The sequence below is a fragment of the Homo sapiens genome, chromosome 5 (genome assembly GCF_000001405.40).
Source record: "Homo sapiens chromosome 5, GRCh38.p14 Primary Assembly".
NCBI classification, from domain to species: Eukaryota; Metazoa; Chordata; class Mammalia; order Primates; family Hominidae; genus Homo; species Homo sapiens.
Window position 1 is genome coordinate 127,555,302 of NC_000005.10, and position 25,314 is coordinate 127,580,615.

The 25,314-nt window shown below is 39.5% G+C and overlaps 1 long non-coding RNA gene across 1 annotated transcript, besides 1 other annotated feature; it reads right to left on the reverse strand.

Annotated features, from left to right (window-relative positions):
* Positions 1-55: 55 nt before the first annotated feature.
* On the reverse strand, positions 56-14,164 carry LOC124901058 (uncharacterized). Its single transcript, XR_007058924.1, has 2 exons — positions 13,925-14,164; positions 56-10,238 (listed from the first exon to the last, which is right to left on the reverse strand). It is a non-coding gene; the product is annotated as an uncharacterized LOC124901058 (long non-coding RNA).
* Positions 12,019-12,078: a silencer, noted in NCBI's record as "silent region_16294". NCBI's record gives its function as "represses an Ori minimal core promoter by ATAC-STARR-seq in GM12878 lymphoblastoid cells {active_cell/tissue: GM12878}" and the evidence as "EXISTENCE:reporter gene assay evidence [ECO:0000049][PMID:35858748]".
* Positions 14,165-25,314: the final 11,150 nt, after the last annotated feature.

The following is a 25,314-nucleotide window of genomic DNA, read 5'->3' on the forward strand; positions in this document are numbered from 1 at the left end:
TAAAGGTAATAGGCAAGAATTTAAGGCCTATGGTCATGAGGACACTTCTTGAGTATTGGGTTTTCGAGTAGTTTTATTTCTTAGTTTCAGTTCACAGCAGAATTAATTAAAAGGAGGGAAAGTACAGAGATTTCCCATATATCGCCTTCCCCTACATATGCATAGCTTCTTCTCTCTTTATCAACACTCCCCACCAGAGTGGTCCATAATCAATGAACAATAAGTGGTCCATAATCAATGAATAATAAACAATCAATGAACCTGCATTGACCTAACATCTCCCATAGCCCATAGTTTACCTTAGTTACTCTTAGGGTTGTACATTCTTATGGGTTTAGGCAAATGTATAATGACATGTATCCATCATTATAATATTGTAGGAGATTTTCACTGTCCTAAAAACTCTCCATGTTTTTCTATCCCCCCAACCTCTGGCAACCACTAATCTTTTAACTGTCTCTATAGTGTTGCCTTTTCCAGAATGTTATATAGTCTGAATAATACAGTATGTAGCCTTTTCAGATTGGCTTCTTTCATTTAGTAATACATATTTAAGATTCTTCCATGTCTTTTCATGGCTTGGTAATTTCTTTTTAGTGCTGAATAATATTCTATCATCTGGATGTTCCACAGATTACTTATCTGTTTGCCTACTGAAGGACATCTTGGTTGTGTCAAGTTTTGACAGTTTTGAGTAAACCTGCTATAAACGTCTGTGTGCAGGTGTTTGTATGGACTATTTTTAGCTCATTTGGTTAGTGAATACCAAGGAGTGGCATTCCTGGATGTATGATAAGAGAATGCTTAGTTTTGTAAGAAGCCACCAAACTGTCTTGTATAGTGGCTGTATTTTTTTTTTTTTTTCCTGGTTTATTTTGTACTATATTTGGTATTTTGAGTTTATGATCCCAGGACAAGAGATTTTTGTCTTGATTTGACCATATTTGGGGCAGGGGAAGAGGAGATACCATAAAACAACAGAATATTGATTGGGGAAGGGGCTGCTGGGTGGGGTTTCTTGGTTGGTTGTCAGAAGACAATAATACTGTTTTAAAGAGACCAGAAAAATACCAGTTCAGGACCTGGGAAAGGCCCTGTTTCTTTGTATTTAATTTCAGAATTAACTGGAGGAGGAAAAAAAATATGTTGGCAATAGAAACAAAATTGGCAAAATGATATCAAGGAGGTTTAAAAATTTACAGAGGAAGGAAATCTTATAAATTATACTAAAGTGAGCTTATTTTAAGAAAAAGCTCACATTTTCTTAAGAATAATAGTAACACTTTTTAAATAAATTTTTAAAAAATTTTTCTTAAAGCTCTAAGGAGTGAGGAACAAACATTTATATAAGTTTCTATTAGGCACTGGAGTAGAAACTTAAAACCAACATTATGTTATTGAGCCCACAGATTTTATTACTCCTATTTTTATAGGTAAGGTAACTGAAACTTAGATTAAACTGCTTGCCCAGTATCACAAAACAGATGAATCACAGAGAATTCAAACAGTATGTGACTTGCTGAACCAGTCTCTTCCCCACCATCCTGAATATTTACTTCAGGAAGTTATAGGTACATAATCCTATAAATATTTGTTGAATGTAAGTGAATTCAAATAATGGCATGACGACTTTTCCTTAGTATACTTTTAATCTTACACTATTACGTTTAGTGAAAACAATTTTTACTCCATATTTTTCTTTTGAGTTTGAAAGGGCTGTTTTGGGCTTTCCTGCTGGTATGAAACTATGTTCTTGACATTTGGATAGCCTCCCCAATTTGAGAAACCATTAACTAGGTTTGAGTGTCATTTTTAGGATAAAAGCCACAAATGTTCTCTAGTGACATCAGGAAGGTATTTGAAGAAAATTTCCTGTTAAACTAGTCTTCAGGCAAGGTACTGACCACGTGCCTTTTAAAATATTTAAAAATTACTTTTGTTATTGACATGTACATGTAGGAAACTACATAAATCACAAATGAATTACCACAACATGGATACACTCAGGTAACCACTGCTCTGATAAAAAAAGGTAACCACTGCTCTGATAAAAAAAAAAAAAAAAATAGACCAGGCTCCCAGAGCACCATTAGGCCTCCTGAAATCTTCCCTGCTAAGATAACCAATACCTTAAATTCTAACAGAGAGTCTTGCTGGTTGTTGAATTCAATATAAACGGAATCCTAAGATATATTCTTTTACCCCTGACTTCTTTTCTTCAACATTACGTTTGCAAAAATCATTTGTGTTGTATATAGCAGTATTTGCTTGTTTGTCTTGCATAGTGTTATGCAAGTTATAGTGTTCTGTTGTCTGAATATACCACAATGTATTTTTGTTGCTGAACAATTGGGTTGTTTCCAGTTTTTTTGGTTGTAATGAATACAGCCCTGGTTATCTTGTACAATTCTTTTGATCCACATATGTGACATTTGTGTTGGAAATATAGATAAGATGAATTGCTGGGGCATAAAGTATGCATATGTCAATTTTAGTAGGTATGGCCAAAATATTTTCCAACTATGCCTAAATTTACCACTCCCATCATTACTATGATGTTATTTCTATTTGCTGTACACCCTTGTCAAAAGACTCAAAGTCTCTTAAAATTAATTATATTGTAGTTTTAATTTGCTTTTCTCTGACATTAAGGAGAAAGTTGAGCAACTTTTCATGCATTTGCCATTTGAATGTCCTTTGTGAGGCATCAAGTTTCCTGCCCATTTTTCCCTTGAGTTTTCTCTATTTCTTAACTGATTTTTAGAAGTTCTTTGTATACTCTAGGTACTATGAGTTGCAGATATCTCCACTTTTTATTTCTGTAGTGGTATCTTTCAGTGAGCAAAAGTTTAAAATCATAACATACAGGTGGTATCGCTCTTTTTTTTTATGGTTAGTGCAATTTGTCCTGTTTTAAAAACACCTTTTCTTACCCCAAGTTCTTAAAGACATTCTATGTTGACTTATAAAAATTTTTATTGTGTTTTAGTTTTCACAGGTGAGATGGGAAAGTCTCCTGGAGTTATTTTGTATGCCTGTGAGTGGTGTGAAATAAGGGTTAAATTAAAAGTGTTCCCCTCCAAAGTGGATATCCTATTGTCTTGACGTCATTTATTGAAAGGACCATCCTTAGATTTATTGGGCACTTTAACTGAGTTGACAATCTTCTACCAGTGTGTTTCCTCCTCACCCTTCTCTAAACAATTCTAAATGTATTTAAAGGTCTCAGTAGACATTATTGGTTTTGTTTAGAGTCAACGTTGATTTATATTTCCCTACATTTTACCCTTCCCATTGCTCTCTATTCCCTCCTGTATTTCTCAGCTTCCTTCTGTGATTACTTTCCCTTTACCCTGAAGAAAACCTCTTTATAATGTCCTTTACTGTAGATCTTATGGTGATGAACATCCTCGCTTTCTTGTTTTGTTTGAAAATGTTTTTATTTCATACTAATTTTTGAATGATATTTTCACTGGATATAGAATTCTAGTTCATTATAGCCTATCAATATCTGTTTTTGTTTTTGAGATGGAGTTTTGCTCTTGTTGCCCAGGGTGGAGTGCAGTGGTGGGATCTCAGCTCACTGCAACTTCCACCCCCCAGTTTCCGGTGATTCTACTGCCTCAGCCTCCCAAGTAGCTGGAATTACAGGTGCCCGCCACCACGCCTGGCTAATTTTTTGTATTTTTAGTAGAGACGGGGTTTCACCATGTTGGCCAAGCTGATCTTGAACTCCTGACCTCAAGTGATCTGCCCGCCTTGGCCTCCCAAAGTTCTGAGATTACAGGCGCGAGCCACCGCGCCTGGCCACCTATCAATATCTGTCTTCTGTTGTTTCTCTTCATGAACCAATGATCAGTCTTACTGTTGCTTTGAAGGTGATACACCCTTTTTCTCTCCTGCTTTTCAGGTTTTCTGTCTATGCCTTTGGATTTCATCAGTAGTGCTGTGACATGATTAGAATGTTCAACTGCCAAATTCTGTATCACCTCTCTTTTGAGACTGTAATTATACATATGCTAGACATTTTCCCTTTTCCCATATGCCTCTTTTCTGTTTCGATCCTTTTGATTCTGAACTTCAGTCTATTTTCTTTCGGTTTCTCCTCTGCTTCACAAGTTCTTGCTTCACCTGTGTCTACTTTCCTATTAAACTCATCTGTTGAGTTCTTGGTCTATTTTTCAGTTCTAGAATTTATTTCCATTGGATTTTTTAATAGTTTCCACACTTTGATGAAATTCTCCATTTTTGTTTCTTAATTCCTTGAAAATATTAATTCTAGTTATTGTAAAGCCCATGTTTGATAACTGTATCTTCTGAATCTCCTGTGGCCCAGTTTCTATTACTTGTTCTCATCTCTTGGTTTCTGGCAAAAACTTGTCTTCCTGTAATGGTAATGGCTGAGGATTTTGGGGTTTCTTGTTCGTTTTTAGAGACAGGATCTCACTCTATTGCCCACCCAGGCTAGAATGCAGTGGCACAATCGTAGCTCACTGCAGCCTAAAACTCCTGGGCCCAAGCGATCCTCCCGCCTCAGCCTCCTGAGTAGCTAGGACTCCAGATGCATACTACCATGCCAGCTAATTTTTTTAAATGTTTTTGTAGAGACAGGGTCTCCCTATGTTGCCCAGGCTGGACTGGTTATTTTTTATTGAGGGCCAGACACTGTATATGACCAGCTGTTGAGGTAATTTGAGGCTCTGACATTATCTTTCTTCAGTGAGCATGCGTTTTTGCCTCTGGCAATCAACTAGGTTAGGGGTATATCAGTTTAATCTCATTAGACATCAAAATAATTTAAGGTGTTTTTAGTCTTTTTGAGGACTGGACTACTCTGTTTTTGGTGTACTCTTACTCTTGGTTTGTACCTGAAACCCTGAAACCTGGGGCAGGCCCTGCACTCTAGTTTCTATCTCCATAGTCCTATGAATCTGTCAAAATCTATTCTCAATTCCTTACCATCTCAGCCACTGTTTTCATATCTCACAATATTCCTAGGGGGCAAAATGGTGCCAGGCTTACGCCCTTCATTGTCTCTCTCCTCCTGGACATTGGTCCCACAAATTCTCATTTATTTGGTAGCTTTTTGATGATTTTAAACAGACTTTTTTATATGATATTGATCTGGCTTTTTCATTTGTTTCTGGTGGGACAGTTGGATCAAAAAAACCTAGTTGGTCCTTGCTAGAAGTGAAACTTTCTTAGTTTTTTAAAGGGTGGCTGTTGGGCCTTTAAGCATACCAGGGGCTGGGGGAGCGGGAGGTATAGGGTTTATGATTTAACAGAACTTTTGAAATGAATAGTTATTTGTAGAAATCTGTTACATTCCAAGTAAGTTCATTTACAATGTAATGTGTCAGAACAAGTGGGACTGTAGAGGAATTAGCTTTTATATACAGCCAGGTCACACCTCAGCCTGTATACCTGCACAGCTCTGAGGCTTTCACTGGGGACGAGGGAGTCACAGGTGCATGAATAATTGTTGACTGCTAATGGTGGCTTTTGTGCTGGAGCAGCTACTTATCCTAAAATCTCCTTGCCTCTTCTGCTTCTGTGTAATTAGTATTATTGTATCAATTCAATAACAACTGCTAACAGTCAAATGGTTTCTATGTGTGACGCCTTACCACATATGTAGTTCCAAATTTGTTTTTGTAGTCCTTTAAAATAGGTAATAGTATTTTTGTTTCACACATTTAACAAAAGATTGTACCACTAGAATATAAGCCCGCTGAGCACCAGCACCATGTGGTCATGTCTACCACTACACCTCAATGCCTCGCACAATGATAAATATTAATAAATTAAAAATTAATATTTTTAAATAAAGGAACTCAAGTCTGTTTGACCCCATAGGCCATATTCTTCGTGTACTATGCAGTGTAAGTGTTAATAAATGTTTTAATTTTTTAAATAAAAACACTTAAAAAATACCACATGTAAGTCTGACTTTAAAGGACTTTGAATCGCATAATATTGTAGAAAGGGGTTGAAATTGATCTAAGAAGAGAGCCCAATAGACCTGCTCCACTTCTGACAGGAAACTACTGAAGGATGGAAGAGCTAGAGGTTTAGAAACCTTGGATTTGAAACTTGTGCTCACCACACAGGAATGAAATTCCAAGCAAGTGTTTCATCCCTTTCAGCCTCAGATTCTTCATCAGTAAAACAGAAGTGTTGATACCACAGGCACAAGAATGTTGTTAGAAATAAATGAAGCAATATATATATACTTAGTTCCTGTGAGTCTATTTATTATGAACATCTCCCCACACTGAGTATGCTTGTGATGTTTAAAAACCGATTTTTCATGAAACGTAGCCCCTAAATGCTAGCCAGCTGCTTACAATTGCCTGTTTTAATGCTGGAGAATTAACTTTTGGGCTTACCATGAGACATGCCAACCTCTACTCCAGGTCCTTCTTATGGAGTGAAGGTCTTAGTTTTTCAGTAGTACTTTCGAACATATTATAATTTGACAGACATATTTCTGAAAACCCCTGCTTCCGGTAGAATTTTGTGCTAGAGGTAACAGAAGTTTTGGGAAAAGATGGGATTAGGGACAGATCAATAAAAACGTATATAACTTTGAAACCAGGCACTAACAAAACTGGTAATGACCTCAATTAGAATATTAGCACAAATTTTACATTTTATGTTTCTAATAAATACACCAAAATAAGAGGCCTTTGCCTTAATGAACAAAAAAAGGTGAAGGTAGACTGATGGACAGGGAAGGCAGTGACAAAGGACTGAGCATGCTGAGCTATGCAGAAAGAGCAAAATACAGAAGGATCAGGGAGAACTGTGCAATGAGCACTTCCAGACAAAACTGGAGGCTCATATAAGCCAGAAAGAAGAACATGGGCTGATGGCCATTGAGTGTTTGTGATTTTGCATTTAGGTGCTGCTACTTAGTTACACGAACCAAAAAGACTTCTAGGTTATACAAACAACATTCACTCATTTACCAATTTTATTTAAGCTAATTGTTACAGAAACATGAGCTGTAGCAGAGCAGACTGAACTTGCTATTTATCTTATAACCATTAGAAACTAATTACCACCATACATAGAAGCCCTTTGTAAACCACCGTGGAAAAGTCAAAGGCCTGTAGGGGTCAGGCAAGCAATAGAAGTGAGTGAGCAGGAAGACACGGACTTCTCTAAATAGGCATATCCCATCTACAGGGGACAGGCATGCTCCGTTTCAGCCAACTGTTGCCATGTGGGATGGAGGACTTGGGTATGGCCAGATCACTTGATTTTTCCCCAGAGAATTCAGATATCTGGGTTTTTAGGTAAAATTGCCCAATTCTTAAAACCCTGACCAAAGAAGATAGGACAGGGGGTTGGGATTCACTTTGGGCTCCCAGTTGTGACCTTAGGAAAATAACAGACTGTATAAACCTATTAATACCCGTTAAGTCCCCAGGGAGCTTTAACATATGAGCATTTTGATGGTTGTAGGTGGCATGGCCTCAAGGGCTGGGATTGAATGGGAGGCTACTTAATGTGTATTCTAGATATTGAAAATAGAGTTAAATTAAGTTGTCTGTCAAGTAGGTTACCCACCGTTCTTTGTTATTTCCCTATAATTGGGCTGTTTCATTTGTGCTTTCTCCCAAAGAGTGAAAAAACCAGTTTCCTTTTGCATTTGCAGAGTTGGTTTGTCCAGGATACATGCAAACACTTGGTGGAAAATTAAAGCCTAATGCAATCGCTTCAAACTTCCTCTAACTTTTCCCCTTATCACTATGTTATTTAACATGAAAACAATGTGTAGAAAAATGTTCAAGTGTTTCTAATAAACGTAGCTAATTGGATTCTCAAGTCTCTTCTGTGACATAAAAACTGAAATAGTTTTGAAGCTGAAGCACCAATTAATAGGGCTAGTCATGGAAAGAACACTTACAGGAACAAAACTTAATACCACATCTTTAGATTTGTGTAATGGTTTGCTGGCAAGCCAAGTCTTTTTCCCCTGTTTCTTTTGCTTATGTTAAATGCTCTAAAAGGGCGGAGGCAAGTATTCTTGTCAGCAGAGACTTGGCAACTAATGTCTCCTTCCTGGTCCCCTGTGCCTTGCTTCAGCCTCAAGACAGTGAGACAGCCAGCCAGCCACCCAGGCAATGTTTTATGAATCTGATGCTATGGAAAGGAGGGCAGTAAATTAGGGGAAGCTGGAATTCGCCTGTCTGTTTCAGAACACCCCATTTGGGGTATATAAAATGTATGCTGCCAGCAGGAGTTTCTGAGACAAGATGATGAAGTGGCAGTTTGCTTATATGATTTTATTTTTTCAGCTGACTTGGCCCCAGTAGATATATAGGAGGTGAGAGGGGAAAAAATGATTAAATTACCTAGTAGTTAAAAACACACTTTCCCCCTGCTTCTAAGTAGGAAAGTAAGGAATGGTTGACAAATATTTCCATGAGGTAATAATTGATCCCTGAATAGGCTTCCATTAGTTAAAAAAAATCAGTTTATGCCATATGCCAGTGAAAATGTGCATGAAATCATGGTGGAAAGGAGAGATACATTCAATGTGAGATCAGAGAAATGAACTGGATTGTGTTTCCATGGTTCCTGCAGGAATCTATCATATTGTATCTGCCACACTGTATACATATGTTTACAGTCATCCCTTAGTATTTGTGGGAGATGGGTTCCAGGATTCCCCATGGAACCAAAATCCACTGCCTCATTATTCCATGGTTTTCCAGAGGGCAGAGGAATTGTGTGAATTTTGGAGTATAGCTGTATTACCTGAGGTGGCCTTTAAAAACTCAGCTCCCATTCTAGGGAAGTTCTGAGAGATACAAGGTAGAAAGTGTCCTTTCTCCAAAAGAAAAGTGAAACTTCAAAAGCATTTGAGAACCCTTATCTTAGAGACCAAAGGATGCCTGCTTAGATTTGCCTTCTGAATTACAGTGAGACAGACACCTTCTGGCCTCCTACCTTCTCCCCTTTCTCTTCCCTTCTCGTAAATCTGGGGTTGGTTAAGTTAGGAAGATTGGATTTCTTTAGCTTTAGTGACTGAAGACTGTTCACCCTGTCACTAGAGGGCACCAGTTGCACATCAAATATCTAATGTGTAGGTGTCAATGCCCACAAACATTCTTCAAATACAGCAAAATGTCAAATTGAAATGGCTTGTAATAAGGTGGTTCCCCTAGTGTCCCTGTTCTTATTTACCCCATTTCTGCTGCTGAAAGGAGCATTCTAAATTTGACTTTCTAGTGCTTTCAGAATTTTCACTTAATTCAAAACTCTAATTAAAGTTGCAGATATGAAGAATCAATGTTTTTCACAAGATTACATGATGGCAATTTTGCTACCATTTATCTGGCTCTTGCTCTGTGCTGGGTAATATGTAAAACCTTATAGGAATTTTTTCACATGGTTGTATTTCAGATCCTGCAACAAATGAAAATGGTTGTTATCAACCGGAAGCCTCCCCTGTAAGCTAAAATATACCATTCAATATAGAGTATAGGTATGTCTCTAGAAAACCTACAAGTTGAGTTTTCCTGTTGAAATTTTACAAAGAAAAACTGTCCAGGCATTTAGTTTATGTTACTCTTCTCTTCATGGGATTGCACAAAGTGTTGTAAGGCAGTTGTCAACAGTCTGGTTTCTACTGGCTTTGCCTCGGGGGACTGACCCACTGTGCCAGCCCTTGCTTGGGTTTACACTGGGAAGACCAGGCTCATTGTTTCTCATCTGTGATGCGTCCCCTCAACCCATAGTTATGTTTTGGCAAAGGAAAAAAAAAGGAGGAAGTGAACATTCACCCCAGGACCATTTGATTCTGTTGATTGCTGACAGGTGCTATGTTCTGAATAGAATTAGAGACTCTGTACACCTCAGACATACCCAATATCAGGTCAGCTATAATTTGTGCATGATGAGAGGTCACAACGTTTTGGCCTTGGGAAAAAGGCACATTCCTGACTGTGCGGCAGCAGTTGCTATGTGGTGTCCAGTAAGATCTTCAGTCATAGTGGGCTTTGCAATGTACACCCTAAAAATGGAAATGAACCCAACGTCTCCTTACAAACTGTGTGAGTCCTGATGGATGAGCTTCCTGACCCTAGACGAAAGGAATCGGCCCAAATAGAACGTCAAAGGAGGATGAAGAAGTATAAATTCCAATTGCTCTTGGAATCTGTGCGTCTTCTCCAGAACTGAGGCAAGTGAGTCGGAGGGGCACTCCCCGTGTGAGGTGGGGCTGGCTGGAGGAAAACAATTCAGCATCACATATTGAAAAGCCACTACATGCCTGGCCCCATAATCTCAACAATCTGATGAAGTAGAACCCTTATTTCTGTCCTATAGAGGAAGAAATGAGGGCTATTCTAGATTTAAAAATTTTCCCAAGGCTATGCTGCTTACTATAAGAGGTAACAGGATGGCAAATATCAGTCACTGCTGACTATGCACATACCCTGTACCAAGCACCATCATTATCTCTGATGCAACACCACAAGGGAGGCATCACCATACCCACTTTGTAGATGAGAAGCCTGAGGCTGGGAGAGGTTAAATCACCTACCCAAGTGTACCACCATCCTCCCCTCCCCTCAGCATTGTCACCACCCTTTGGTGACAACTCTTCCCTGCCACACAGTGTCCCCAGATCTGCTGCTTCCTTCTAGAATAGGAAAAAAAGCCTGATAAACTAATTCACTTGCATACCCTGGAAAAATTGTGACTGCCAAGACCAGCATCTCCCAGAGGATGTATGGCAGAACAATAACCCTCTGCTTCTATCCAAACAAAGGATCCCTTCATCAAACACATCTAGAAAATTTAGAGTGCATAGGAAAAGGCTCTGAGAAATCCTGGAATACAGAAGAAACTTTCTTAATAAAGGACAGCCCCTTTAATTTGCACTGTTGAGGCACAGAAAACAGCACCACAAAATACGGTAAGTTGGCATGCTGAATGCTTTGAAGGAAAGAAAATGGAAAGGTCTCAGAAATAAGCCTCAGAACCTTCCCCCTCACACCTGTTTCTCTTATCCTCTCTTTTCCCAAGCACCAGAAGGGACTCTGTCCCAAATTTCCTTATCTGGCTAAGGAAGCTTTTTTTTTCCAAAATAAATGCAATTGTCTTAAGACTCTGTTCTTAGGAATCTCATCAAATAACTAGGAAAGATTAACCACAGGAGAAGAGACTGGGAGTTGTCACCACACCCAGACAGACAAACTTTTCATCTATTCTTCTGAAGGCAGCTACTAAGATTACCAGGGAGGCTCTATCTGTATAAGACAAGCTTTGTTGATAATGAAGGTCCACCTTCCTGCCACCTCCCCCAGAGCCCAGAGCCCAGAGCCCAGAGGAACATGGTCTCAGACCATTTTTCTTTGGGCTCATTCATTTCCATGGAAAATCGGTTACTCCTTCATCACCATCTTCCCTTCCCCTATGAAGAAGGGTATGAAAGCCTCTGGGCCTCATTGGGTTATTGGGTAATCACTCTACTGTGATTTCCCCTGGACACTTCAAATACATTTTGTATGCCTTTTTCTTGTACTAATCTGCCTTTCATCCATTCATTTTCAGTAATCCCTCAGTGGGCAAAGAGGAAGATTTCTCTCTACCCTCACAGCATGAAACACCTGTGTTGTAGGTATTTGACTTTGAGCCCCATTTTCATCTGTAAAATTAGTTTATATATGTAAAAGCACTTAGAATAGTGTATGACAGTTAAATTCAGCATAAGCAGTAACCGTGGGACCCTAGTAAATCAATAAGTTAAAAGGAACCGGAAGGAGCCAGGCTGGTAGAACAGGGACTGGACCTAACCCAGGGATCTAACCCCATTTGCAACCCTTTTGTGTGAAAAACCACAACCAATATCTTGCAACTCCAGAAACAGAAGGCATATGGGTTGCAAAATGGCTAACAACAGCAAAGCATTTCCCTTGGGCACCTGGAGAGGAAAGGGCTGACAGTTAAAAATTACCCCAACATAGTCTTAGCATATAGCATAGCACAAGCTTACTTGCACACAGCCCTCTCCAGCACGACCTTACAAAACTTCCCTCCAGCCCCTGCATCTTTGCAGACAGCCCCTTCTCTGCTGTGCTGCTTGTTGCATCCTTGCAACATTATCTTCATGCTTCCTCTAATAAGTCTACCTTTCTTTACCTATGACTGTCTTGGTAAAGGAGCCCAAAGAAAAATGGCCTGAGACTGTGATAACCATGATCTTCTTGGCTCTAGGGGAGGTGGCGGGAAGGTGAACTTTCATTATGAACACCACCAGCCAGCTGTCACGTCCCCGACAGCAACTATTATTATTACTATCATCACCACCTGTAAACAAGGCACCACAGAGCCCTTGTGGGGCTGAATTCAAGGATGTGGGGTACGTGTGTGCAGATATTTATTGACAGAGCAACATTTCAGAGTCCCCTTGGCACATGTGAAAAGTGTGGCTTAGGGGAAAGATATGGATTTTTGATCAGATAGATATGGGCCATGCTCTAGCTCCACTGTTTACCATCAGTGCAACCTTAAAGAGTTATATAACCTCTCTATGCTTCCTTATCATAAAATGAGGATAAATAGTACCTTCCTTTTATTTTTTGTGAAGATTAAGGGGCAAATAACTCCACAGTTGTGGATTGTTATTACCATTAAAAAGCCAGTGGAGAACACCTGTTGAGCATGAGGGTGTAAAGCCTCCCAACCGAATGTTAATTTCCCCAACTGCATCTTAGAAGCTATTTTGGCAAAGAGTAAAACTCTTCACTTTAAAGTTTATTGGGCCAAAAGCATATTTGAAGCTTAATCTTCTCAATATGATTTAAAAAAGTGGAAGAAACTATGATAAAGCAACAGAGAAAGGGATTGACAGGTATGAAAAAACATATGGAGAAGAGTGAGTAAAATCTCTGGAAGAGAATGCAGACCTCTCCCTCCGTTTTGGATCAGTAAGTCTGTGTAGCCACATCAGATCTCATCCGTTGGAAGACCATAAGCTGCCCTTGGGCATGAGGCAATGAAGGGCAGGGGTGTCATCGTGGATGGGTATGACATAAGAGAAAGAGAAAGTGGAAGAAGAGGGGAAGGAGGAGGAGGAGGAGGAGAGAGAGACACAGGACAACCAATAAAACCTTGCATACACATCACAGAACCAAAAGAAAGAGTAGATATTTTGTGTGTGCATATTTGTGTGTTTTTATCTTAAAGACAAATTGTATGCTGTCTAGATCACACAGGTAGGGCAGCTGTCTAGATATTGAGTATGTTAAGGACTTGGACATCTTAAAACAATACACTTAATCAACTGCCTTTGCTACTTAAAAAAAAACAAATCTCAATTGAAAATGGATTGATTGGAAGCATGACAGAATATTTCAGATTAAGCCAATGGAAGGAATCCTATCGTTGCTGCACTGATAATAAAATAATACTTGGAAACCACTTACCACCAAAGTGGGTGCTCAATAGATGTTAGTTTCTCTTTGTTTCCCCTTGTTTCATAAAAAAAAGGAAAGAAAAAAAAAACCAAAGCTATACAGGAGGGAGAAAAAAATGAGGGAAAGGAAGAAAGTCAAAAGGAAAGAAGTTAAAAAAAAGAACGAAGAAAATTTCCCCCAAAAGACTTCAAGCCAACTAAGACACGAGAGAAGTTTGTCAATTTAAACATTGATGATATTTGTGGACATTGCAAGTTCTCCATACAACATCTTATGAGTGAGAAAAATCCCATAGTATAAGAGGCTTTTTTTGATTAGATGTAACAGCCAATTCACTACATAATACAAATTAGATATCTTAAAGAGATACTACCACCAATCAGATTTGACATTTTCTCTTATGCTTTTTTTGTATCTCTAAGGGTTGATTTTAAAGGAGAGAATAACACTTTTGACAATAGTTATGCAATGTACTTTTAAAAACTAACCTGTGAAATCGGGCTGCAATCAACTAGTTGACCTTGGTTGGACCATATTGAGAGGTGACAGCGTGCTAGCAGTCCTCACAGCCCTCGCTCGCTCTTGGCGCCTCCTTTGCCTGGGCTCCCACTTTGGCGGCACTTCAGGAGCCCTTCAGCCCGCCACTGCACTGTGGTAGCCCCTTTCTGGGCTGGCCAAGGCCGGAGCCGGCTCCCTCAGCTTGCGGGGAGGTGTGGAGGGAGAGGCGCGGGCGGGAACCGGGGCTGCGCGCGGTGCTTGCGGGCCAGCGCGAGTTCCGGGTGGGCGTGGGCTCGGCGGGCCCTGCACTCGGAGCTGCCGGCAGGCCCCGCCGGCCCCGGGCGGTGAGGGGCTTAGCACCTGGGCCAGCAGCTGCTGTGCTCAATTTCTCGCCGAGCCTTAGCTGCCTTCCCGCGGGGCAGGGCTCGGGACCTGCAGCCCACCATGCCTGCGCCTCCCCTCCGCCTCCGTGGGCTCCTGTGCGGCCGAGCCTCCCCGACGAGCGGCGTCCCCTGCTCGACAGCGCCCAGTCCCATCGACCACCCAAGGGCTGAGGAGTGCGGGCTCACGGCGCGGGACTGGCAGGCAGCTCCACCTGCGGCCAGGTGCCGGATCCACTGAGTGAAGCCAGCTGGGCTCCTGACTCTGGTGGGGACTTGGAGAACCTTTAGGTCTAGCTAAGGGATTGTAAATACACCAATCGGCAGACACTCTGTATCTAGCTCAAGGTTTATAAACACACCAATCAGCACCCTGTGTCTAGCTCAGGGTTTGTGAAGGCATCAATGGACACTCTGCATCTAGCTACTCTGGTGGGGACTTGGAGAAACTTTGTGTCAACACTCTGTATCTAGCTAATCTAGTGGGGACATGGAGAACCTTTGTGTCTAGCTCAGGGTTTGTGAATGCACCAATCGACCCTCTGTATCTAGCTACTCTGGGGGAACTTGGAGAACCTTTGTGTCCACACTCTGTATCTAGCTAATCTGGTGGGGACATGAAGAACTTTTGTGTCTAGCTCAGGGATTGTAAATGCACCAATCAACACCCTGTCAAAACGGACCAATCAGCTCTCTGTTAAATGGACTAATCGGCTCTCTGTAAAACGGACCAATCAGCAGGATGAGGGTGGGGCCAGATAAGAGACTAAAAGCAGTCTGCCCGAGCCAGCAGTGGCAACCCGCTAGGTCACCTTCCACACTGTGGTAGCTTTGTTCTTTCCCTCTTTGCAATAAATCTTGCTACTGCTCACTCTTTGGGTCCACACTGCCTTTTTGAGCTGTAACACTCACCACGAAGGTCTGCAGCTTCACTTCTGAGCCAGCGAGACCATCAGAAGGAACAAACTCCGGACATGCCGCCTTTAAGAACTGGCACACTCACTGCAAGGGTCCGCGGCTTCATTCTTGAAGTTGGTGAGACCAAGAACCCACCAATTCCGGACACAATATGATTCTCTTGAAGTCCAAAGATGTGAATAGATCGCTTTGTGTACTCAGCCCTCATCCAGGCCAAGCCAGCCTGGGTTTTGTTTTGTCATGTCCACAAGAACATCATAGGCAAGTAGGTTTTGATTTACAGATACATGTAAATAGATGTGATTTCTTTCCCAGGAAAAGGGCACAAGGAGCTAACAGTTTAATTTATACACATGAGGCTGTTTTAGAAGCTTGCATTGTAGTAAGGGCTAGTTAAAGTCAGTCTTTCAGCAGGATGCATTGCTCCCAAATGTTTGCTGGTAGACAGTAAATCTGGGAAAATATCAAGGCCAGCAGGTGACAGGGGAAGACCAGGACAGGAGAATTTTCAGAGCTGAAACATCTCACTGTAAAGATTTAATAAATTTCACATGCATCCCCTTATTTTTCCATATTTTGTTTTTATTTTTGTTTTAGCTGTTTCCTGTGTTTCAGGCACTGGTGATCCTTTTGCCTAGAAACACTAACTACTGTATTTTTTTCTGATGTGGTTTTCTGTTGGATAGGATTTCCATAATAAATAAGGTTGATTTGGTCTGGTCAGCTTCGTGTCAATTTTCTAGTTTTGTAGGTGGTTCCTTTTAATCATAAACAAAAGCTATAACTTAGCCATTTCCAAAGCTCAACGACATTTACAAGGGCCCCAGAGGAATAACTTTCTGGTTAAGGCAACTGTAGTAAGTTTAATAGGATAAACAGGTAGTACCCTTTCAAGCTCTAGGACTCTCCTCCTCGAGGAGGCCCCTCAGCCAGTTTGATCATAGTGGTAAGGAGGTCAAGGCTGTTTCAGTTCCCATCAGCTGGCTTTGAGCAGAGAAAACTCATTGCATGGCCACAGGTTGAACCCCAAGTCTAAGGAAATGACTGTGTTGCTCAGAGGAGGTATTAATAAAAAGCATCCTTTGCACTTTTTCCAGCCCTATTCTACACATTTGTCCTTTGTTCCTTCACAACCCAAAGAGTCAAAGAATGCTTCTGTCCTTTGTTGGGAAGGCCTCTCCTTTGCAGAGCTTTCTGTTCCCTTTCAATTTCCTATAGTCCATTAAGACTGTTCCTGTGACCAGAAGGCAATAAAAGAAACACATTTCAAGTAGTAAAACAAGCATCCAGGAAGAAGCTTTCCATCAGTTTAAAACAGATGAAAAAGCCTGGCCTCTTGTTTCTCAATCTAGATCTGGAACAGACAAGAGAGAAATATTAGAGACACCTGACGCTGGAGGGGTGTGAGGACACATTTCCAGAGCAGCTGCCCTGTACTTTATTTGGACAGTTCTTGCTTCCCACTGTCTCACTTCAGTTTTTTTGTTTTTTGTGTTTTTTTGCTTTTCAAATTTTTTTACACTGTCACATTCTCACTCTTTCTGTACTTTTCATTTTGTTCCCCTCTGCTCAAAACTTTTGACTCCCTCTGTCACCTCCCATCCACCCAGCAAATCCCCAGTTCCTGCTCTATAGTGAGTTCCTCTCGTATGTCATGGCAGTTATAATAATAATAACAGCTATAGGTTATTGAAGGCTTTTCATGAGGTTTTTATCTCATTTAAATGTTTCAGCAATCTTAGAGGTGGTATGTTAATCAGGACAGGCTAATTGTTATAATAAGTAGTATCAGTATTGCTATGAGACCAAGTATTTCTTTTTCTCATGCAGAGTCTGATGTGCATGCTCCTGGCTGGGTAGCTCTCTTGGGCAGATCATCTCCAAGCAGTTGGGCACTCCTTTTATGATGTGGCTAAATTATCCTGGAGTCTTTTGCAGAGAGGGGAGAGAGTGTGTGGAGGATCACATGGATGTTTTAGGGGCCATCTCTGAGTGACATCTCACCACCTCCCCCACAGTCTATTGACCCTAAGTCTGATATATGGTCCTTCCTAGTTGCAAGAGAACAAGGAAATGTATTTTTCTCTTGTGTCCAGGATGAAAATGAAACTACATGGTGTAGGCAGCATTGCCTCTACCATGGTGGGTGGGGTGGGGGCGGGAAGGGCTTTCAACACCTCCAGGTGAGGGAATTCAGGCACAAAGATTCAGAATCATTAGCTAATATGTGGTGGAACAAGATTCCAACCCTATAAATATGACTCTAGAATTATACTCTTGACATTGTGTCCTGCTTTCTGTCTTTAAATAAAAATAACTATTCCCTCTTGTGCTCATGGTTTTCCTTTTTTACAAGTCTTTACTCCAGTGCTTATCACACTGTTGCACCTGTTACACCAGACTGTGAAACCCAAGGGAGAAGAAAAACCCCTTTATATCCATATGAGCAGTATGTGCCTGGGACACAGTGGGGCTCAATAAAAGTTTGATGACTGAAGAATAGCTGTGATCTGTGTGGTGGTTCATGAAAAGGCAACTTGAGGCACTGCATCGTGATTACATCACTGAACAGCTTTTCTAGATTAAAGTCAGGGGTGTCTAAATTAGTGTAACAATCATCTCCATGTAGCTGTTTTCAACCCATCCACAAGATGGAGCCTTTACAAATATAAGTAAGAAATGATGTCAACAAGGCGGTAGAATAGAAACATTCCACTATCATTCCCCTACAGATAAATCAATTTTGGCAAATATCCACAGTTAAGAGTACCTTTGTTGGAGTCTAGGAGTGCAGCTGAGAAGTTCCAGCACACCACTGAAGCAAAAATCCAAGAATAGGTGCACTGAAGAGTGTGGAAGAACAGTTTCATGTTATCTACCTCACCCCTTTCACAAGGTGGCATAGCTCAGTGCCAAGAGAGACGTTATTGGCCCATGATTTCTCCCATGAGGAAAAATGAAAGTGTAGTAAGGGGGTACCTGGCTCCCCCAGCCACATCAGATGCTGCCCAAGAGGCCTGCTTCTTTCTTAACCCACCCGGAATACTGGAGTGATTGGAATAAATGAGTGGTTGGAAGATGCTGGGAGCAGGGAAGAAAGGCTGCCATGGACCTTACTAAGTTCTGCCTACTCCATCAGGAAGCAGGCCCACAAACCACTTGAGGAACCTCAGCTATGAACCCCATACCCACTGCCCCATGGGCACTCCATATTTTCTATATGCTTCACCTTCTCACCACAAGACATGAAGAATTACACCACACATAAGAATTACAGACATGAAGCACTGCATCCAGCCAAAAATGATTATTTTAAGGAAGCTCAGTGAGCTATAAGATAGACAATTCAGTGAAATCAGAAAAACAATACATGAACAAAATTAGAAGTTCAATAAAGACACAGAAATCATAAAGTTGGGTATGGTGGCACATTCCTGTAGTCCTAGCTACACAGGAGGCTGAGCACAACAATCTCATGTGGACAGCTGGCTTGACTCTGCAGGATTGGGAGAAGGTATACAAATTCAAGCAATTCAAGGTGCCATCATAGCAAAAACAAACAGGAGGCACTTAGCACCCACTTCGGCTTTATGGGGTCATGATAAGCCATACAATCTTAAGAATTCTCCCCCCACCAAGAGGAAATAAGGGGCAGAGTGGGCACATTGATAGAAAAGGTCTGAGAGAGCCTCAGAATCCCTAGCTGGGCTATTTAGTTAAAGCATTTTTCTCTCGAAGCCAATCAGTAAATATGGGAGGAAATGATTACTTCTTCAAGTGCACACACAATGACGCAAAACTTTAAGGAACATGAAAAATCTTGAAAACATGACACCACCAAAGGAATAAAATATTCCACTAACCAACTCAGAAAAATTAGAGATCTATAGATTGCCTGACAAAAAAATTGAAATTATATTTATTTATTTATGTTTCAGAGACAGGATCTTGCTCTGTCACCCAGGTTTGAGTGCAGTGGCATGATCATAATTCACCACATCCTTGGACTACTGGGCTTCAGAAATCCTCTTGCCTCAGCATCCTGAGTAACTAGGACTATAGGCACATCCCACCCTACACAGATAATTTTAAAAAATTGTAGGGACAGCATCTCACTATATTGCCCAGGATGGTCTTGAACTCCTGGCCTCAAGCAATTCTCTTATCTCGACCTCTCAAAATGCTAGAATTACAGACATGAAGCACTGCATCCAGCCAAAAATGATTATTTTAAGGAAGCACAGTGAGCAACAAGATAGACAATTCAGTGAAATCAGAAAAACAATACATGAACAAAATTAGAAGTTCAATAAAGACACAGAAATCAAAAAGTTGGGTATGGTGGCACATTCCTGTAGTCCTAGCTACACAAGAGGCTGAGGTGAGAAGCCCACTTGACGTCAGGAGTTCAAGACAAGCCTGGGCAACATAGCAAGACCCTATATCCTAAAAAATTCATTTTAAAAGAGATACAAATAATAAAGAACTAAACATACATTATGAAGCTGAAGAATACAGTGAATGAAATGAAAAATGTAATAAAGAGCATCAGCAGCAGACTCAATCAAGCAGAAGAACCTGTAAATACAAAAGACAGGTCCTCTGAAAATATCCAGTCAGAGAAAAAACATAAAATGAATGAAGAGGAATGATGAACGCCTGCAAAATTTATGTGACACAGTTAAGAGTGCTAACAGTTGCATTATAGGAATTTAAGAAGGTGAAAAGAGAAAGAGGCAGAAAGATTTTTTTTTTAAATAGCTGAAAACTCCCCAAATCTGGGGAAACATACAGACATCCAGGTATGTGGCATTTAAACGTCTCTGATAAGCTTTAACCTGAAAAAGAGATCACCAAGATACACTACAATCAACTGTCAAAAGTCAAAATCAAGGAGTTTTAAACGCAGCAGAAAAGAGGCTTATCTCATACAAGGTAACCCACATAACACTATCAGATTTCTTATCAGGCTATCAGAAGATTTCTCGGCAGAAAGCTTATAGGGTAGGAGAGAGTAGAAGGATATATTCAAAGTGCTGAGAAGAAAAGATAAAAAAAGCCAAGAATATGTAAACCTGACAAAGTTTCTTTCATAAATGAAAGAGAAAGAGTTTCCCAGACAAACAAAAGCTGAGGGAGTTCATCACTACTAGACTTGTCTTATAAGAAATGCTTAAGGGAGTTATTCAAGCTGAAATAAAAGCATGCTAATTAGTAACATGAAAACATATGAAAATATAAAACTCATTGGTAAAGCTAAGTATACAGTCGTATTTAGAGTAAAATTATAATAGTGATGTGTAAATCACTTACGACTCTAGTATAAAGGTTAAAAGACAAAATATTGAAAATAACTACAACTGGCAGGGCGCGGTGGCTCACACCTGTAATCCCAGCACTTTGGGATGCCAAGGCTGGCGGATCACGAGATCAGGAGATTGAGACCATCCTGGCTAATATGGTGAAACCCCGTCTCTACTAAAAATACAAAAAAATTAGCCAGGCGTGGTGGCAAGCGCCTGTAGTCCCAGCTACTCCGGAGGCTGAGGCAGGAGAATGGTGTGAACCCGGGAGGCAGAGCTTGCAGTGAGCCGAGATCGCGCCGCTGCACTCAAGCCTGGGCAACAGTGCGAGACTCCGTCTCAAACAAACAAACAAACAAAAAACCAAAAACTACAACTGCAATAATTTGTTGCTGAATACACAATTTTAAAAGATATAACTGGGATATCAAAAACAAATTGTAGGGATGGGGCAAAAGTGTAGAGTTTTTGTATGCAATTGAAGTTAAGATGTTATCAGCTTAAAACAGACTGTTATAACTATAAGATGTTTTATGGTAGCCACAAAGCAAAACCCTATGTAGATACACAGAAGATAATGAGGCAAAATCAAAATACACCACTGCAGAAAATAATCGAATCACAAAGAAAGACAGCAAGAGGAGAAGAAAGGAACAAAGGATATACAAAACAGCCAGCAGACAATTAACAAGATGGCAATAGTAAGTCCTTACCTAGCAATAATTACTTTAATATAAATGGATTATATTCTCCAATCAAAAAACATACAGTGACTAAATGTATAAAAAGGCATGACCCAACTGTATGCCATGTACAAGAAACTCACTTTAGCTTTAAGGACACACACAGAAAGTGAAGGAATGGAAAAAGGTATCCATGCAAGTGGAAACTAAAAGCGAGTAGGAGTAGTTTTACTTGTGTCAGACAAAAGAGACTTTAAGTCAAAAACTGTAACAAGATACAAAGCAGATCATTATATAACGACAATTCATCAGGAGGATATAACAATTATAGGTATATATGCACTAAATATTGGAGAAACTAAACATATAAAGCAAGTATTAACAGAACTGAATGGAGAAATAGATAGCAATCTAATAGTAGGGGATTTCAATACCCCACTTTTTACAATGGATAGATAATCCAGACAGAAAATCAATAAGGAAACATTAGAGTTAAACTGGGATTTAGGCCAAATGGATCAAACAGACATATAGAGAATATTCCATCCAACAGTAGCTGAATATACATTTTTCTCAAGTATACACAGAACATTTTCCAAGATGGGTCATATGTTAGGTCACAAAATAAGTCTTAAAAAATTTAACATGACTGAAATCATGTCACACAACTTTGCTAAACAAAATAGTATGAAACTCGAAATTAACAACAGAAGAAAAACTGGAAAATTCACAAATATGTGGAAACTAAACAATATGTTCTTGAACAATGAATGAGTCAAAGAAGAAATCAAAAGATAAGTTAAAAAATACCTTGAGACAAACAAAAATAGAAACACAACAGACCAAAACTTACGGGGTGCAGCAGAAGCAACTCTAAGAGGAAAGTTTAGAGTAATGAAAATACCTACATGAAAAAGGAAGATCTCAAATAAACCATCCAACCTTACACTTCAAGTTACTGGAAAGGAAGAAAAACTAAACCTAAAGTTAGTAGGAGGAAGGAAATAATAAAAATCAGGAATAAAACAAATAGAATAGAGGCTAGAAAAACAAAGCAAAGAACTATGAAATGAAGAGCTGATTTTTTTTTAAAGATAAGTAAAATTGGCAAACTTTCAGCTAGACTAAGAGGAAAAGAGAGATGACTCAACTAAAAATGAAAGAAAACCAGAAATGAAAGAGACCTTACATCTAATACCACAGAAATACAAAGGATTATTAAACTGCTATGAAAAATTATAAGCCATCAAACTGGATGATCTAGAGGAAACACATATTTGTAGAAACGTACAACTTATCAAGACTAAATCATGAAAAAAATCCAAGAAGAATAATAACAGCTAAGGAGACTGAATTAGCAATCAAAAATCTCCCATCAAACAGCCCACATCCTTATAGCTTCCCTGGTGAATTCTATCCAACCTTTACAGAAGAACTAATACCAATTGTCAATTCTTGGAAAATAATTGAAAAGGAGGGAACATTTCCAAATTCATTTTGTAAGGCCAGCTTTACCCTGATACCAAACTCAAACAAGAACACTATAAGAAGAGAAAACTATAGGCCAATATCACTGATAAACATAGATGCACAAATCCAAAATAAAATACTAGCAAACTGAATTAAGTGTTAAAAGGATAATACACCATGATCATGTGGGATTTATTCCTGGGATGCAAGGATAGTTCAACATATGTCAATCAATAAATGTTATACATTACATTAACAGAGTGAAGGACAAAAACCATATGATAATCTCAATATATGCAGAAAAGGCATTCAACAAAATTAAACACCCTTTCACGATATGATAAAAAAAATCTCAACAAATGTGGTATAGAAGGAATGTACCTCAACACAATAAAGGCCATATATGACAAGCCCCTAAGTAACATTATACTCAATGGTGAAAAGATGAAGGCCTTTTTTAAGATTTGGAACAAGACAAGTTTGCTCACTCTCGCCACTTCTCTTCAACATAATAATGAAAGTTCTACAGTAATTAGGCAAGAAATAGAAATAAAAGATATCCAGACGTGAAAGAAGAAGTAAAATTGCCGCTCTTGACAGATGATATGATCTTCTACACAGAAAATCCTAAACACTCCACCAAAAACTGTTAGAACTAATGATGAATTGGGCAGGCACAGTGGCTCATGCCTGTAATCCCAGCACTTTTGGAGGCCTCGAGATCAGCCTGGCCAACATGGGGAAACCCTCTCTCTACTAAAAACACAAAAATTGGCTGGGGCATTGTTGTGCATACCTGTAGTTTCAGCTACTCTGGAAGATGAGGTGGGAGGATCACTTGAACCTGGGAAGCGAAGCAGAGGGTGCAGTGAGCCAAATCACATCACTGCACTCCAGCCTGGGTGACAGAGTGAAACTCTGTCCAAAAAAAACAAAAAAACAAAACAAACAAAAAAAACTAATGATGAATTCAGTAAAGTTGCAAGATACAGAATTAACATACAAAAAGTGCTTGTTTCTCTATAAACTAACAACAAACTATCTGAAAAAAGAAAGAAAACAATCTCATTTATAATAGCATCAAAAAGAATAGAATACTTAGGAATAAATGTAATAAGGAAGTGAAAGACATCTGCAATAAAAACTATAAAACATCGACAAAAGAAATGAAAGAAGACACAAAGAAACAGAAAGGTGTTCTGTATTCATGGACCAAATAATCAATATTGTCAAATGTCCATACCAAAGTGTTCTGCAGATTCATTGCAATTCGTATTAAAATTCCAATGACACTTTTCACAGAATGAAAAAAACTATCCTGAAATTCATATTGAGTGACAAAAGTCCCTGAATAGCCAAAGCTATCTTGACTAACAACAAAGCTGGAAGCATCACACTTCTTGATTTCAAATTATATACAAAGGTATAGTAATCAAAACCATATAGTGCTTGAGGCCAGGAGTTTGAGAGCAGCCTGGGCAACATAGTGAGACCTCGTCTCTCTAAAAAAAAGCTAAGCAAACAAAAAAACTCAAAACCTAAAAAACTAAGCTACCTGTGGTGGTGCATGCCTGTAGTCTCCAGCTACCTGGGAGGCTGAGGTGAGAAGGCTGCATGAGCCCAGGAGTTTGAAGTTGCAGTGAGTGAGCTAGGATTGTACCATTACACTGGATGACAGAGTGAGACCCTGTCTCTTAAAAACACAACAGCTATAAACTATATGGTACTGGCATAAAAACAGGCACATAGAGCAATGGAACAGAACAAAAAGTTCAAAAAGAAACCCACACATATATGGTCAATTAATCATTGATAAAGCTGCCAGTAATTTGCAATGGGGAAAGGATAGTCTCTTGAATAAATCATGTTGGTAAAACTGGATATCCACATGTGGAAGAATGAAATTATATTTTTATCTCATAACATATACAAAAATAAGTTCAAAATGGATTAAAAACTTAAATGTTCATCGAAGAAAACATAAAGGAAAAGCTCCATGACATTGGTTTGGCAATGATTTTTTGGATGTGACAGCAAGAGCCCAGGCAATCACAAATAAACAGGAGAGACTACATCAAACTAAAAACTTTCTGCAGCGCAGAGGAAACAATCAACAAAATGAAAAGACAACTTATGGAATGAAACAAAATATTTCCAAACCATATATCTGATAAAAAGTTAATATACAAAATATATAAGGAACTCATGCAACTCAATAGCAAAAAACCAAATAACCCAATTTTAAAAATGGGCAAGGACATGAATAGACTTTTTTCCAAAGAGGATACATTAATGGCCAACAGGTATGTGAAAAGGTGCTCAACATCACTAATCATCAGAGAAATGCAAATCGAAATCACAATGAGGTATCACCTCACACCTGTTAGGATGGCTATAATCAAAAAGTCAAAAGATGATGAGGATTGCTGAGGACATAAAGAAAAAGGAAGTCTTATACATTGTTGGTAGGACTGTAAGTTGGTATAGCTGTTATGAAAAACAGTATGGAATTTCCTCAAAAAATTAAAAATAGGAGTACCATATGATTCAGGAATTCCTTTTCTAGATATATAGTGAAAGAAAACTAAGTTACTCTCTTGAAGAGATGTCTGCACTCTCATGTTCA